The sequence below is a fragment of the Homo sapiens genome, chromosome 5 (assembly GCF_000001405.40).
Source record: "Homo sapiens chromosome 5, GRCh38.p14 Primary Assembly".
NCBI classification, from domain to species: domain Eukaryota; kingdom Metazoa; phylum Chordata; class Mammalia; order Primates; family Hominidae; genus Homo; species Homo sapiens.
Genome location: NC_000005.10, coordinates 75490317 through 75507213, shown reverse-complemented (window position 1 = coordinate 75507213; position 16897 = coordinate 75490317). Strand labels below are relative to the sequence as shown.

Here is a 16897-nt window from a genome sequence, read left to right as displayed (position 1 = left end):
GAGATTGCGGTAAACTGAGATGGTGCCACTGCACTCCATCCTGGGTGACAGAGCGAGACCCTGTCTCAAGAAAATACTAAATAAAAGAAAATTTAAGAAGTGAATCAATCTCAAAAATGCTTAATTAGAGAACAGAAAAATAAAAGATTTCTCAGTGGATATAGAGCCTGAGCCAATGCAGTATATTTTGGCAATCCATTTTTAATTAGTTTTTGGAATTGGCAGATAGTTTTTGAGATTTTTCTATACTTAACACCCCAGAGCATAGATAAAAACATGCAAAAATAAGTATTCCTGTAAAGGTTACATTTCTGCCTTTTCCAGTTTATTGTGATCTTCACTTTGCAGCAAGACTTTAGCAACACAGAAACTCTTAAGGTATTGAAGACAATCCAATATGTTTTTGAAAAGCAATTTTATTTTTGTTTTATTACTCTTGAGTTTGAAAAATGCATGTTCAGAGGAACTTGGAAAATGTATTGGCCATTTTTAATATTATTCAGTTCTGTAGAGGAAAAGTTAAAGTTGATGCCAGCTTACTAAAGATTATTATTTTTATTTTGATATAGTTACAGCTGTTATAAATTTTCATATAGGAATAACAACAAAAGTAGAGTTTAGCAATAATTGACTTTATACTTCCGTTGATTTAGAAGGCTTCATGCAGTCTTTGGTGTCAGAATGAGAGACTACATACATAACTGAACATACTTCTCTGTTGAATATGTTAATTATGACAAGGACCAAAACAAATATCATGAAGGTACTTAGGAGAGGATGAAAGCATACGAAGAATAAACAATAATTTTAACCAAAATCTGGCTTTCGTTTTATTCTTCAAATGTTAGAAGAAAATGTTATATTTTATTTCTTACAGATTTATTTATAATATTGTAAAAATTACTGAAAATCATTATGCAATCTAGAAAATCTCAACTTTTCACTTTTTGTAATCATTTTACTGTTTATGCTTAGAATTAAGTTGGACTTTTCACGTTTTGGTTTTAAAATTAGATTGCTGTTTCACAAAGTTTGGATTTCTAAAATACTTCTATTTTTTGTTTTCTTCTCTCTTCCCTTCCCCTTCCCACTCCCAGTGGACAAACTACATTCATGGGTGGCAGGATCGTTGGGTAGTTTTGAAAAATAATGCTCTGAGTTACTACAAATCTGAAGATGAAACAGAGTATGGCTGCAGAGGATCCATCTGTCTTAGCAAGGCTGTCATCACAGTAAGTTCCTTTTCTTCTTCATTCAACAAATATTTATTGAGTGTCAGCTACATACCAGGAACTGTTCTACGTGTTCAGGATACATCCGTGGATAAGATAAAGATCCTTGTCCTTGTAGAATATACATTCTAATACTTTTTTCCATAAAGTGATTTTACTGTGGTTTTTACTACATATTGTTATTTTGCATAGACATGTAGTTTTTATCTGGTGGGTATATCAAACCAGTTTAAGGGCTTCAGGAAAAAAAAATGTTTGAAGCCTTTTTATTTGTTGAGGCTGGGACAGTTACTTTGTAGGTTACTGAATATTTAAAAATAATACATCTTGTAAGTAACATTCTAAAATTTTAACTTAAAAATATAAATGTAAATTCATTTTTAAACTTTTTAACATTGAGCTAATGCCATCTCTTTGTGGAGTTGGGAGAAGCTGTTCTCATGTTCCTCACACATGATTTGCTATTTACAGTTTTGATTTCTCTAATGTGGAATAAAAGCCTGAAGATAACTTTTGAAAAACTCTAAGTATAGGCTCCTTCTAACTTTTTATGATTTCCCCTTATATTTTGCAGTTACATCACTTTTCTCCAATTCAACACCCTTTAAAAGAATAACTCACCTTCGTTGAGTCATTCTACTTAGTTTACATTTTGTTGTTCTTTTTTTGTTTTTTTGTTTTGTTTTGTTTTGTTTTTGAGACAGTCTTGCTCTGTCACCCAGGCTGGAGTGCAGTTCTGTGGTCTCAGCTCACTGCAACCTCGACCTCCCAGGTTCAAGCAATTCTTCTGCTTCAGCCTCCCAAGTAGCTGGGACTATAGCCACGTGCCATCACGCCCGGCTAATTTTTGTATTTTTAGTAGAAATGGGGTTTCACTGTGTTGGCCAGGCTGGTCTCAAACTCCTGACCTCAAGTGATCCACCCACCTCAGCCTCCCAAAGTGCTGGGATTACAGGCATGAGCCACCGCGCCTGGCCTACTTAGTTTACATTTAACTTAGTATATAGAAACAACTGTTCCTTTTTGCACTCGTAGTCATTAGACATGAATAATGTTTAAGATATGTAAGAACTATAACAAGTAAACTGGCATAAACAGGTTTGGGAACAACCAACTGACTTGTTAAGCATGTAACCCAACTAGTGAGAACAGAAGTACCTGATAATACAAAAAATAGCATACTGGTTAAGAATGGTCAGCATGCCATGGGCCAAAAAAAAAAAAAAAAAAGTGTTGGCTAAGGCCAGACAGTTAAATAGAGGTCAGTTAAGGGAGCTGTTGTAGTTAAAATCTGAAAATGGGTACGTTAAAACAAAAATACAGAGTTTACTAACTCACTCAAAGAGAAGTCACATTTTGTGATAGAATTTATTTGGCTTATAAAAGTGAAAGATATATATATAATACTTCAGATTTCCGTTAATATCTAATCCTTACTTAGCGTATGTTTGTTATGCATTTAGGGAAAATCTTACAGTATTTTTACATTATTTTTTATACATTATTTCCCCCCTTGTATATTCAAAGTTTGAAAACAAAAGTTTAGAATTGAATATCAAGTTAGAGAAACACAGAAGAAATATTTGGAAGTGTTGATAATGAAACTACGCTCTCTATTCTTAGAGACAATTTTTAGGAAATAGCTTTAACATAAAGGCTCAGTATTTATTTTGACTGGTATGTGGTACATTGTAATGTGTTTAGAAATTGTATCTAGTTTAATATTTTGGGTGTTTTTCTTCCGAGATAGATCATTATTCATATCAATGGACAGAATAGTGGATTGAAATGTACCTTGCGATCTTGAAGTGTTTTTCCTTGATCCTCCACTCCCCTTCTTTTGCGTATTATTATTGGATGTTTATTAGTTGCAATGCTTAACTCTTTGAAAATAGTATAATGATTGATGTAAAAATGGGGAGGAATTAAATTTTATCTTTATTATTCTCTAAGTAGTAGTATTCCTAGAGTACCATGCTAGTTTCTGTGGATTTAAATATAGTTATTCTGTCTTGAATTATGGACTATAATAATGTTGCCTGGCTTATTTGGAGAAAAGAAAATTTTAAATTAAACATTTAATTTAAATGTTTAATTTAAATTAAACAAAAAATTTAAATGTTTAATTTAAATTAAACAAAAAATTTAAATTTTAACATTTATATCCATCTTCTCAGGAAGAAAACAGTGTTACTTTATTGTAATTGATTTTTGTTATAGCTATATGTACATGCATAACTTTCATTGTGGTACATAGTAAAAGACATGCGTAGGAACAAGAAACAATTTGAATTCTTTGAAGGAGAGATAAAAGTAGAAGTAAAAAGATGAATTAGGCAACAAAATCTGTGTGGTAGTCTTAGATACAATGAAATGGATGATAGGAAAAAACACAAGCATTTATATTATTGAACTTGAACTTTCCTTGCCCTTTGGGTTCACAGACTCCATGTTACATATTTAAAGGAAATTAAAAATATAACTGAATTCAGTGAACTCAGGATGAGTTTACAAATTAGAGTATGTACTTTAGTTAAATAAATAAATGTAATAGTAATATTCCTCATTAAATTTTAATAGGCATCTCTTGGTATTTTTTTTCCTTAAATATGGGCTATGCCTATTGTCACTTCATGTCAGAATACAAAGAATGTAAATGTTTAATTTCTTTATATGGCACTCTTATGAAATTGATAATATTCACGTACAAAGAAATCTGGGCTTGAAGAGTTGATGTGACTTTACTGTAACCATTCATTACTATATTATTTGTTGGTGGACCTAGCATCTGAACCCACATTTCTTGATAGAGCCTAATCCATTTTAAGTTCATTCTTAGTTTAATGATTAAATCACTCTTAATTTATAAAAACAATATTCTTTATCTGTGTGATAATAAAGTGGGTGAAATAATTTCAAGGAAGAAAGTATGTCTTGAGAGAATTTATTCCTTAATGTGAAAGGATTGACAGTAAGTAGGTGAGAGGAAAAATAGTATTCCCTTACTTTGTGTAAAAAGAGCTATTTGTATGTAGAATAAGTGTTTGTAGAAAGACAGTTGAATTCTTCAGTTATTATAGCTTGATACTTAGAAGACCCAGCCCCTGCTACAAAATTTGCCGCATAGTAGATATTCTGAATATGTTAGTTGTAATTGTTTCAATTAAAAGCAAATGTTTATGGAATATTTACACTGTTTACTTTTTATATTCTATTTTTAAAATAAAGTGCACATGATAAAAAATATAATTTGTGGCATTAAAAAGTTTAAGAAGTACATGCTGCTTTTTAGTCTTGCACTTGAGGGACAACCAAACTTAAATTTCTGGTCATCCTTTCAGAAAATATGTAGGACTATACAAGGATTTGTTTATATCTTTCATAAATATTTACACAAATGGTATCATATTAAGCCTATTGTTCTGCACCTTGTTTTAATACAACTTACACATTAACTGTTATATTCTGTTGAATCGTGTGGATATATTATATTTATTTGCCTGGACCCTGTTTTTGCACATTTAAATCATGCCTAATTTTTATTACAATCATTATTGAAACAAATATGTACTTTAAAATTTGTTTTTAGTTATTGTCAAATACTCCTTCAAGAGTACCACTCCTCACTCCTACCAGTAGTGAATGAGTGCCTCTGTTTCTCCTTACCCGCAAGTATTGAGGAAGTTGGGTTTGGCAAATGTTAAAGTATTTGTCAAACTGCTACATTAAAATGGTATCTTATTATTTTAAATTGCACTTTTTATCCATGAGGTTGAGTAACTTAATAATTTATAGCCCATTTTTATTTCTTTTTCCTTTTCCAATTGCTTATGCACTTTTTTTTTGGTTTTTCTTTCCTTTTTGGCTTGTAGAAACTCTTCATATGGTAATTAACCATTTGGCACATTTGTTGCAAATATTTTCCCCCACATTGTCACTTGTCTGTTTCTTCTTTGCTTGTTTTATAGTCTATATTAGGCCCTAGAGAAATCTTAGATTTTTACATACTCTTATTGACATCTTTTATTACGGCTTCTGTATTTACTTGTTTAGATAGGTGTTTCTCTCTCAAAGACTATCTCTCTATATGAATGTAGATATATTTTCATCTAAAATTTACACTTGAATTTTGATTCCTGTGGAAGTTATTTTAGTTTAAGGAGTGATATTGATGTTTTTAGTTTTTTTTCCACATGACTAATTATGTATCCTGGTAGCATTAATTAAATAACTAACCTTTTTCCAAGTGGTTTCAAACACCACTTTCATCATATATTACGGTCCCATATTTATTTAAGGTTGTTTCTGGACTCTCTTCTGGGCATTTGGCTTGTCCTTCTTATCCTCTGTTTAAAATTATATTGTGGGTATTTCATCAACCAGTTCCTTAAACTGCTAATGATTCATTGGTGAAGATAGAAGTAATTTATTTGCAGTTACTAAAGTTAAAACAGGTAGAGATTTTTGGTATAATATCTTCAGATAGAATTAGTTTTCCTAAGTTCTGTAGTTTCATGTCTCACCTTAGGCATCTGCCTTTGTATACCTCATATCTTGTTGAACTTTTAAAATCACCAGATGAGTAGAATTCCTATTATTCTTATCATAGGTTGGTTTTAGGGAAATTTGCCAGTTTTATGTTTTAATATTTTTGGAAGGAAAACTGAAAGGTAATGAAAATGTTACTGTTGGATTAAAAAACAAATTAAGTCCAAATAGTGATTAGGCAAGTTGGTGAGGTAGGGGGTTGCTGCAAGAGCGGAAGTTGAAAGATCTTGGAAAAATTAAAGAAACTTCATAGAACCCCATCTCTACATCAAAAAAATACACAAATCAGCTTGGCGTGGTGGTACACATCTGTAGTCTCAGCTTCTTTGGAGGCTGAGGTGGGAGGATCACCTGCTTCAGCCTCGCAGGTGGAGCCAAGGTGATGCCATTGCCCTCCAGGCTGGGAGACAGAGTGAGACCCTGTCTCAAAAAAAAAAAACAAAAAAAACAGACAATGGAGATATAAAAGCAAGGGAAGGAAGTGTTCAAAATTGAAGAGAACCACAAAAATAAACATAAATTTTGAAAGTGCCAAATAGTAGTCAGATGTAAAAAATTTTTGAATGTGGAATTGTAAAATGAGAAATTACATTATGGAAATGAACTTCAGCAAATTGGGTATCATCAAAGATGATTAGTGCCATAAATAGTCATTATAAGAACTCCAAATTAGCGAGAAATCCAAGAAGAAGGCCTTTTCTCAAGTGTGCAGTTTTTCTATGTTGAACAGTATTAGTGAGAACTAAAGGAAAGAGAGGAAGGTATGCAGCAAATAAAAGCACTAGATAAGAAACTAGTTGTTAATTCTCATTGGAGGAGCATTTGTCAGTGAATTTTTAAAGAAATGAGACTCTTCGATCTGCTAAGATTTATGCTTTGAGAAACTCATAATTTATCTGTTTAGCAGTTCATTAGAAAAGAATATATTCCATCTTTCAATAACATGATTCAGATAATGTAACTCAAATAGCGTGAAGTAGAAAGTACTTAAAATATTTGGTAAGAGGCCTTGGAAGAAGAAAAACATGAAAAAGGGCACCTGTTGAAATCTGGGTTTCAGAATGTGGAAATAACTTACAGAAAATTATATAATTTTAATTATATAATTATACAATGTATTCATTTGCTAGGGTTGCCATAAGAAAGTACCACAAACTGGGTGACTTAAACAACAGAAATGTATTGTTTCACAGTTCCAGAGGCTGGAAATAGGATCAAGGTGTGGGCAGGGTTGGTTCCTTCTGTTGGCGGTGAGGGAGAAGCTGTTTCATGAGTTTCCCCTTACATCTGGTGTTTGCTGGCAATCTTTGGTACTCCATGGCTTGTGGATGCATCACTCCAATCTCTGTCTGCATGTACACATGGCATTCTTTTTATGTATTTGTCTTTTTCCAGATTTCCCCTATTTATCAGGACACCAGTCATACTGGATTAGGGGTCCAACCTACTCCACTGTTATCTCATTCTAACTAATTAAATCCACAATGCTGCTGTTTTCAAACAAGGTAACATTCAGAGGTACTGGGAGATAAGCCTTGAACATATAATATGATTTTGAGGGGGGCACAGTTCAACCCGTAACACAAAGTATCTGTTAAGCCAAGAGCCCCAGTCTGATTGCCATCTGTTATTTTATGACGTCACTGGGCTTAAGAAAATTGTATATGTGGTGCATTTTATTTTGTGTAGGGGTTGTAGGAACATGACTGTTAAATATTTATAAAGCAACTCTTAATTCCGAAGTGCTTAAAACGTTGTGCATGGGCCGTGAAGTCAAATCTGGGTTCAGACCTTAACTGTGTGTATTAGTCCATTCTCATACTGCTGTGAAGAAATACCTGAGACTGGGTAATTTATAAAGAAAAGAGATTTAATTGACTCACAGTTCTGCATGGCTGGGGAGGCCTCAGGAAACTTACAATCATGGCAGAAGGCACTTCTTCCCAGGGCGGCAGGAGAGAGAATGCAAACCAGGCAAAGGGGGACAAGCTCTTTATAAAACCATCACTCCCATGATTCAATTACCTCATAACAGGTCCCTCCCACAACACATGGGGATTATGGGAACTACAATTCAAGATGAGATTTGGGTGGGGACACAGCCAAACTGTATCATTCTGCCCCTGGCCCCTCCCAAATCTCATGTCCTCACATTTCAAAACACAGTCATGCCTTTTCAACAGTCCCCCAAAGTCTTAGCTCATTCCAGTATTAACCCAAAAGTCCAAATCCAAAGTCTCATCTGAGACAAGGCAAGTCCCCTCCACCTGTGAACCTGTGAAATCAAAAGCAAGTTAGTTCCTTCTTAGATACATTGAGGGTATGGGCAGTGGGTAAATACACCTATTCCAAATGGGAGAAATTGGCAGGCAGCCAAATCTTAAAGGTCCAAAATGATCTCCTTTGACTCCATGTCTCACATTCAGGTCACTCTTATGCAAGAGGTGGGCTCCCACCACCTTGGGCAGCTCCGTCCCTGTGGCTTTGCAGAGTACAAGCCCCCCTCCTGGCTGCTTTCACAGGCTAGCATTGAGTGTCTACAGCTTTTCCAGGTGCACAGTGCAAGCTGTGAGTGGATCTACTATTCTGGGATCTGGAGGACAGTGGCCCTCTTCTCACAGCTCTACTAGGTACTGCCCAGTGAGGATTGTGGGGGTGGGGGGGCTTCAACCCCACATTTCCCTTCTGTACTGCCCTAGCAGAGGTTCTCCATGAGGGCTCCCCTCCTGCCGCAAACTAATGCCTGGACATCCAGGTGTTTCCATACATCCTCTGAAATGTAGGCGGAGTTTCCCAAACCTCAGTTCTTGACTTCTTTGCACCCACTGGCCCAACACCGTGGGAAAGCCGCCAAGGCTTGGGGCTGACACCCTCTGAAGCAATGGCCTGAACTGTCCTCAGAGTGGCCTTGACCCCTTTTAGCCACAGCTGGAGCTGAAGCAGCTGAGACACAGGGCGCCAGGTCCCAAGACTGCACAAAGCAGCAAGGCCCTGGGCCCAGCCCAGGAAACCCATTTTTCCCTCCTAGGCCTCCAGGTGTTTGATGGGAGGGGCTGCCATGAAGGTCTCGGACATGCCCTGGAGACATTTTCCCCATTGTCTTGGTGATAACATTTAGCTCCTTGTTACTTATGCAAATTTTTGCAGTAGGCTTGAATTTCTCCCCAGAAAATACGTTCTTCTTTTCTGTCACATCAACAGGCTGCAGATTTTCCAAACTTTTATGCTCTGCTTCATCTTGAATGCTTTGCCACCTAGAAATTTCTTCCTAGAAATTTAAGACCTTAAATCATGTCTTTCAAGTTCAAAGTTCCATAGATCTCTAGGGCAGGGGCAAAATGCCGCCAGTCTCTTTGCTAAAGCATAACAAGAGTCACCTTTGCTCCAGTTCCCAACAAGTTCTGCATCTCCATCTGAGGCCACCTCACCCTGGACTTCATTGTCCATATCATTATCAGCATTTTGGTCAAAGCTATTCAACAAGTCTCTAGGAAGTTCCAAACTTTCCCACATTTTCCTGTCTTCTTCTGAACCTCCAAACTGTTCCAGCCTCTGCCTGTTACCCAATTCCAGAGTTGCTTCCACATTTTCGGGTATCCTTATAGCAGCACCCCACTCTCTACGGTACCACTTTACTGTATTAGTCTGTTCTCATGCTCCTATGAAGAAATACCCGAGACTGGGTATTTCTTTTTATAAAGAAAAGAGTTTTAATTGACTCACAGTTCTGCTTGGCTGGGGAGGTTCAGGAAACTTAAAATCATGGCGGAAGTCACCTCTTAACAGGGCGGCAGGAAAAAGAATGAGAGCCAAGCAAAGGGTGGGAAAGCCCTTATAAAACCATCGCCCCCATGATTCAATTACCTCCCACCAGGTCCTTTCCACAGCACATGGGGATTATGGGAACTCCAATTCAAAATGAGATTTGGATGGGGATGCAGCCAAACCATATCACTGCTTACAGCCAAAGGTACCTTTGGCAGATTACTAAATTTCTCTGAGCTTTCAGCTTCCTTAACTGATTAAACAAGGGGGATAATGTCTAAGTATGGAATGATTATGTAATTAAAAGAAATAACATATAAAAGTACTTGGTACAATTCTTGGCACATAGTAGTAGTCTCTCAAATTTATTTTGTGAAATGTTTATGTTGGGAGTAAAGCCTACAGTTAAAAAATTAAAGAACAGAAGTTGTCAGACCCTTTTATCAAAGGGGGACAAAGATGCAGTTGACTCACTAGAGCCGGGATACGTAGCGTGTCATGTTTGAACAGATTCTCATGCAACTCTGTTCAGAAATTTTCTTCCACCAAATAGTTCTATTTACCAACCTAAAAAAATAGTTAACTCTTTATATGTTTTCTGTGTATTCTTGATAGTCTTTTTTTCTTTGATCTATTTATTGTTTCCTACCTTTTTTTGGTTTTCCTTATTCTATGTCTTTTTTTAAAAAAAAGATATGTTGTGCCTTTTAAAAAATCACATTGAGATATAATTTACACACGGTCAAATTCACCCTTTTAAAGTATACAGTTATAGTTTTCACAAATGCATACAGTCATATAGTCATTACCACATGAGTATATAAAATATTTCCATCCTCCCAGATAGTTCTCTTCTGCCCCATTGTAGTCAGTTACCCTCTGTGTCCCCAACCTCTGGTAACCACTGTTGCAGCATATTATATACATGGAATCATGCAGTATGCATCTCTTTGTGTCTGGCTTTTAACTTACCATAATGCTTTTACTACTCATCATGTTGTTACATGTATTCTTAACTTGTTGCTTTTTATTGCTGAATACTGTTTCACTATAGGGATATACCATATTTTGCTTATGCATTCACCAGTTGACGGATATATATTTGTTTCCAGTTTTGAGATACAATAAATAAGGCTGCTCTAAACATTTGCATGCAGGTCTTTGCATAAGCATATTTTCATTTCTCCTGGGTAGATACCTATGAATGGGATTGCTAGGTTGTAAGGTAAGTATATGTTTAACTTTATAAGAAACTGTGAAACTGTTTTCCAAAGTGGCGGTACCAGTTTACCATCTCACCAGCATTATGTGAAAATTCCATTTGCTTGGCATTTTTGTCAGCATTTGGTATTGTCACATTTTTTGGGTTTTTTTTTTTTTTTTAATCTTAACCATTCTGGTAGGTATGTAGTGATAGCTCATTGTGGTTTCCATTTGCATTTCCCTAATGACTAATGATGTTGCACATCTTTTCATTTGCTTATCTGTATCTCTTGTGATGTTTGTTTAAATATCTTGTGTTTGTTGTCTTAATGTTGAGTTATGAGAATTCTTTATATATATTCTGGATACCGTAACGTTTGTCAGGTACATGTTTGGCAAATATTTTCTCCCAATCTGAGAGACTGATTTTTATCACTAACACTAAAAATTTATCTACAGTTAAGACCTATTTGAATGTGTATTTTGATGACTTTGCTCTAAGTTCTTTTTTTTATTTATTTATTTTTTTTTCAGCTAATTTTTTTATTATACTTTAAGTTTTAGGGTACATGTGCACAATGTGCAGGTTAGTTACATATGTATGCATGTGCCATGCTGGTGTGCTGCACCCATTAACTCGTCATTTAGCATGAGTTCTGAACAGCATTATTATTTACTTTTTTCTATGTTTTGTGTATAGAGGCAACATTTCTCACTGTTTTTACATTTTTATTTTTTATATTGGATCTGCAGTGGCACTCTGTTGTTTAAAGTGACAAAGCCTTAAATTTAAAACTTGCTGACAACTCGTTAAGTAGTGCATTCACCAGGGAAGCTGGTATTCCTGTTGAGCTTCCTTTGAGTGAGTGCTGTGTAGGCTTGGCCTCTGTCTTTTTTTTTTTGTAAGTGAGATAGGGTCTCAGTCTGTTGCCCAGGCTGGAGTGCAGTGGCGTGATCTCGGCACACTGAAGCCTCTACCTCCTGGGCTGAAGTAATTCTTCTGCCTCAGCCCCCCGAGTAGCTGAGACTACAGGCATGCGCCACCATGCCTGGCTAATTTTTGTGTGTTTTTGTAGAGATGGGGTTTGACCATGTTGCTCAGGCTAGTCTTGAACTTCTAGACTCAAGCAATTTGCCTGCCTCAGCCTCCCAAAGTTCTGGGATTACAGGCATGAGCCACTGCACCTGGTCATGTCTTTATTGAAGGAAGAAAATTATGGCTGATAAAGAAAGCTGAGCTATTCTCTTGGTTTCCAATTTAGAGAATATATATTATCCAACAATTACGTATTTTAAAAATATACTTTCCCTCTAATGAGGATTCATCACTTGAAAAAGATTACTTATAAATTAATTATACGGAACCAAAAGACTGAGAAGCCATGACCAGTTGAATCTTATCTAGATTTTAAGGCAGTCTGTAAAGTGATAATGTCTCAAGGGTGGGAGATAGGAAAGGGTAATGATTCCTGAAAACTTACATATAAACCCAGTTTCATAAAGTAAGGTTGTCTCCTGTTGTGAAAGACTTCAAATAGTTTCACTTGGCTTTTTACAAGGTAGGAATTTCATCCAGGTAAAGGTACATCTACTTTATCTTCTTATGAAGAAAAGAAATGGGGCTAAAAACTGTCGAAATCCCAAAAGACAGGGTGGACAAGAGAGGAAACTACAGAAGACAGCATTGTAGAAACTGGAAAACAAATGGTCAAGTGCTAAGTGAGTTAGTAAATCTGAGAAACCCAGATCCTAAACTATCAGTTAGGGAAGCTCAAAACTAGATCTACATCATAATTATATAACATTGTAGCAGTTCTGGATACCTCCTGGAATGGAGAGTTGGGGGTGGAGAGTGTATAAGGAAGATGAGTTATATGTCAATTTAAGAAACAATCAAATCTCTCTATTTCCTCCCCACACTGGACCTCTATAGAGAAAAAAATCGTGGGTGTCTGGTCTTGGAGGGTAGAGGAGTAGTCACCAGATACAATTGAAATCAAAGTATCACACTGAATACAGAGGAGGGATTAGGGAAGCAAGCAAACTAGCTACTGAGCCTCACATGACCCTATCCCACCACTATTCCCCAACTTCCAAACTCTGGCCAACAAACTTTAATCCTCAGGACAGGAGGTTGCTGGGGTCTTTTCTAAGAATCTGACCAGCGTAAAAGTTTTGACCTAAAGATAACAATATAGCTTCCCTAGCAAAGTAGCCCAACTAGATTATCCTGTGGTGAAGCCCATTTTTGGTAAACTCAAAGTACAGCCTTTGGGTTTCGAGTCAGAAGATTCCCTACTGTTAAAAATGAGCAGACAGCAAAGGACTATCAGTCATATGAAGAAAGTTTCCAATATGAAAGAGATCAAGAGAATCAGTGCAACACTAGGAAACACATTATTCAGATGTCCAACAAAAAGAAGGAAATTTGTCAGTATTTTTAAAGAGAGAAGAGTTTTTGAAATCATGAAAAAGTAAGTATACTATAAAAAAGGAAGAGGTTAAAAAAGAGCTCTTGGAAATTATAAATATGGTAGCAGTGAGGAAAGAAATTAGAAGAGTTAGAAGGTAGAATTATAGACATTTCTAGAAAGTAAAGAAAAAGATTTTTGTTTTTTTAAAGGTAGTAAATAGGACATAGGTAAAATTAAGGAAATAATCCAGGAGTTCTAACATCTGAACAGTAGGAGCTCCAGGCAGAGAGAACAGAGCAGAAAGGGATTATCAATGAAATAATAAAAGAAAAATTCACAGAAATAAAGGACAAGAGTTTTACATTGAAATCATCAAGCAAGGTCCAGTATAATAGATTTTTAAAAAGACTCATGTTAAAGACACATTGTGCTGAGCCAGACCACTGGGAAGAAGATCTTGGATGCTTCCAGAGAGAAAAAACATAACAACAAAGGTTAAGGATTCAAAATGACTGTGGACTTCTCAAAAGCAGTGCTGGAAACTAAGATGCAATGGCTGATGCCTACATTCTTCTGAAGAATAATTATTTTCGACAATGAATTATATATGCATCCAAATCACCAAGCGAGTATAAGGACAGACTAAAAGCATTTTAAAATATGGTCTCAACAAATTTACCTCTTGTTGTTTTAAAAAATATTTTAGAGATGCATACTTACATGTCTACAGATGAAATGATATGTTTAGAATTTGCTTCAGAATAATGCCTTTGGAAGGGTATGAATTGATGAGGATGTAGATTTTAAAAAAGAATAACCATGAGTTAATAATTGTTGAAGGCAAATGATGGTAAGAGGGTTCATTATTCTGTTTTTTTGCATATATGTGAAATTTTTCATAATAAAAAGTAAAATACATCCACAGACACAGACGTCTGTCTTCTGCTGAAAGATATGCCCCATCAAAACAAGGAAGAATTAAATAAGAGGAAAATGCGATAGAGGTTATTGTACTCAAAGTGTGATCTCCAGAGCAGTAACATCAGTATAAACTGTGAACTTGTTAGAAATGCAGATTCTCAGGCCTGCCCCAGACCTAATGGATCAGAAACCCTGGATATGGAGTCCAGCATTCTTTCTTTAACAAACCCTTCAAATGATTCTGATGCGTCCTAAAGTTTGAGAACCACTTTCCTAAAGCAGGAAAAATAGCTTTGCTCAAGTAAAGAATGGACATGACTGGTGTTTTGTATCATCTCATTTTCTTAACTGCTTGCTCTCTGGACGTTGATAGTTGCTCTGACATGTAAATCAATTGAGTTGTTATACATAAAAAATACTGTATTGTGCTATTTGTTCTAACAATCTCAACAATCGATGTAAAAGTTCAAATTTAAGGAAACTCTTGAGTATAGTGATTGTATCAGAAATGGGAAGAGGTATGAGGGGAACATATGAACATGCCTTATACCAACCTGGCTGCTTGTCTAACTGGCACCTTGACATTGTTTGCTGACTTTGTCAATTGAAATTTTTATTAATCTGGAATGCCTTTTCCTCCTCTGGTATCAAAAGCCTGTCTTTCCTCCTGGGCTCAACTAAACCACAGCTTTTCAATGAACCACTTTAGATCTCATTCTCATCTTTCTGTCTCTACCATCAGATTTTTAAAATTTTATTTATTTATTTTAAACAGGGCCTAATGCTGCCGTCCAGGCTGGAATGCAGTGATGCAATCATGGCTTGCTGCCACCTTGACCTCCTGGGCTCATGATCCTCCTGCCTCAGCCTCCGTAGTAGCTGGGACTACAGGTGCACCACCACACCTGGCTATTTTTGGGGAGTTTTTTTGTTTGTTTGTTTGTTTTTTGGTAGAGACTGAGTCTCGCTATGTTGCCCAGACTGGTTTCAAACTCCTGAGCTCAAGCAGTCCTCCAGCCTTGGCCTCTCGAACAGCTGGGATTACAGTGTGAGACACTGCACCTGGCCATTACTATCAGATTTTTTAAAATATAAATAAGGACTGAGCAACTATGACATGTGTTGTGCTGGCTATTTTATGTATTATCAGGAAAAAGGTGAAAATGATTAGGGAGAGAGAAATAAAGGTAAGAAGAGCTACAACTGTTTTTCATATCAAACCTTGACTCAAAGAGTTCAGAATGATTTAACTCTTTAAACTGTGTGGGCTTCTGAGTAGCTGAAGACAGTGGTAGGTGGTAGGCTTGTGGTAAGCCGCATCCCAAAATGTTATCTCCCTAAAAGATACAAAATAACTTCACATCTATATCATTTTGACATGAAACAACACCTTGAACATTACTTGTAGATAGATAATGGCAAAACTGCAAAATAATCATGTAAGAAAAAGGTAACACACTCAAGTGCAGTGGTCCTACATGCTTTTACCCCATTGCCGCAAGGGGACCCTGTGGCAAGGAAAATTAGACCAAGATATGTTCCTTGAGAAGACAGAAGGAGCACTAGTGAGGGAGAGCTGGAAGAACCACCGGAAAGATTAAATCCACCCTTTTTTTTTGTATTTTCAGTGCAAAAAACTAACCAGACAGATCAGAGCAGGATTACAGGAAAAGGATTTCAAAGTATAAGTACTTTAAAGGGCTAGACAGCCATTTAAATGTGATTTAAAGAGACACACTTCTGAATGTCTAACTTCTGGAAGACAGAAAAGGAAAACAAAAGAGTTCTTTGGAAATTGGATGGTCAAGGAAAAAATTTTTAAAGACCTGCAAGAAAAAAAGGAACCAAAAAATGAGAAGGCCTACAACCCTCTTCTCTACTATTAAAGCAAAACTCCACTGAGGTATCTAGACTTTGGCAAACGACAGAAAGAAAAAGATGCCATTAAACGAAGGATATTGAAAAAATGCCCCCAAATCACAAAAATAAACAGAAGGAAAGTGAAATCCTTTCCTTTAGTTTATAAAATTAGGGAAAAATTCATACAAATCAACTAAGGAAAATTCCTCTAATCCCGTAAAACTACTTAAGAAGCAAAAGAAAACTATTAGTATACACTCCAAATAGAACTCAAAATATACAACACTTGGGTTTGAAGATAAGAAGAACCACCTTGAGTCACAAATTCAAAATCAAGAACAAAAATGGGTGAAAACCAGGGGAAAAATGCAAAAAGAATTGTACTCAAAGAGATGAAAGAAAATGACAATAGATTATCTTAAATGAAGAAAAAAAGTTACCAGATACTGAAAATAGAGTCAAATGAAAATTTAGGCTGGGCACAGTGGCTCACGCCTGTAATCCCAGCACTTTGGGAGGCCGAGGTGGGCGGATCATGAGGTCAGGAGATCGAGACCATCCTGGCTAACATGGTGAAATCCCATCTCTACTAAAGATATAAAAAATTAGCCAGGCGTGGTGGTGGGCGCCTGTAGTCCCAGCTACTCGGGAGGCTGAGGCAGGAGAAGGGCATGAACCCAGGAGGCGGAGCTTGCAGTGAGCCGAGATCGCGCCACTGCACTCCAGCCTGGGCGACACAGCGAGACTCTGTCTCAAAAAAAAATAAATAAATAAAAATTTCGTACAGGTGTTGAAGAAAGAGTAGACAACAATGAAGAGAATGAAAGTAAGATAAAAAGGATCAGAAAAATTACTGAAAATGGAAAACAGACAAGGACTAATTTTCATATTACTAGAGTCTCTGAAGAAGAAAAAAAGGTTTTTTATTATACTTTAAGCTCTGGGATACATGTG

General features: G+C 36.2%; 1 protein-coding gene across 9 annotated transcripts in view; it reads left to right on the top strand.

The window, feature by feature from the left end:
- Positions 1–16897, top strand: part of CERT1 (ceramide transporter 1) — a 143496-nt gene that overhangs the window by 4768 nt on the left and 121831 nt on the right. For all 9 annotated transcript variants that reach the window (XR_007058566.1, NM_001379003.1, NM_031361.3 and 6 more), the window contains one exon: positions 1098–1232. Coding sequence is in view for 8 of the 9 variants with exons in the window: in NM_001379003.1 (NP_001365932.1) it covers positions 1098–1232 (135 nt within the window). In the remaining variant the exon portion in view is untranslated. The remainder of the gene's footprint in view (positions 1–1097; positions 1233–16897) is intronic.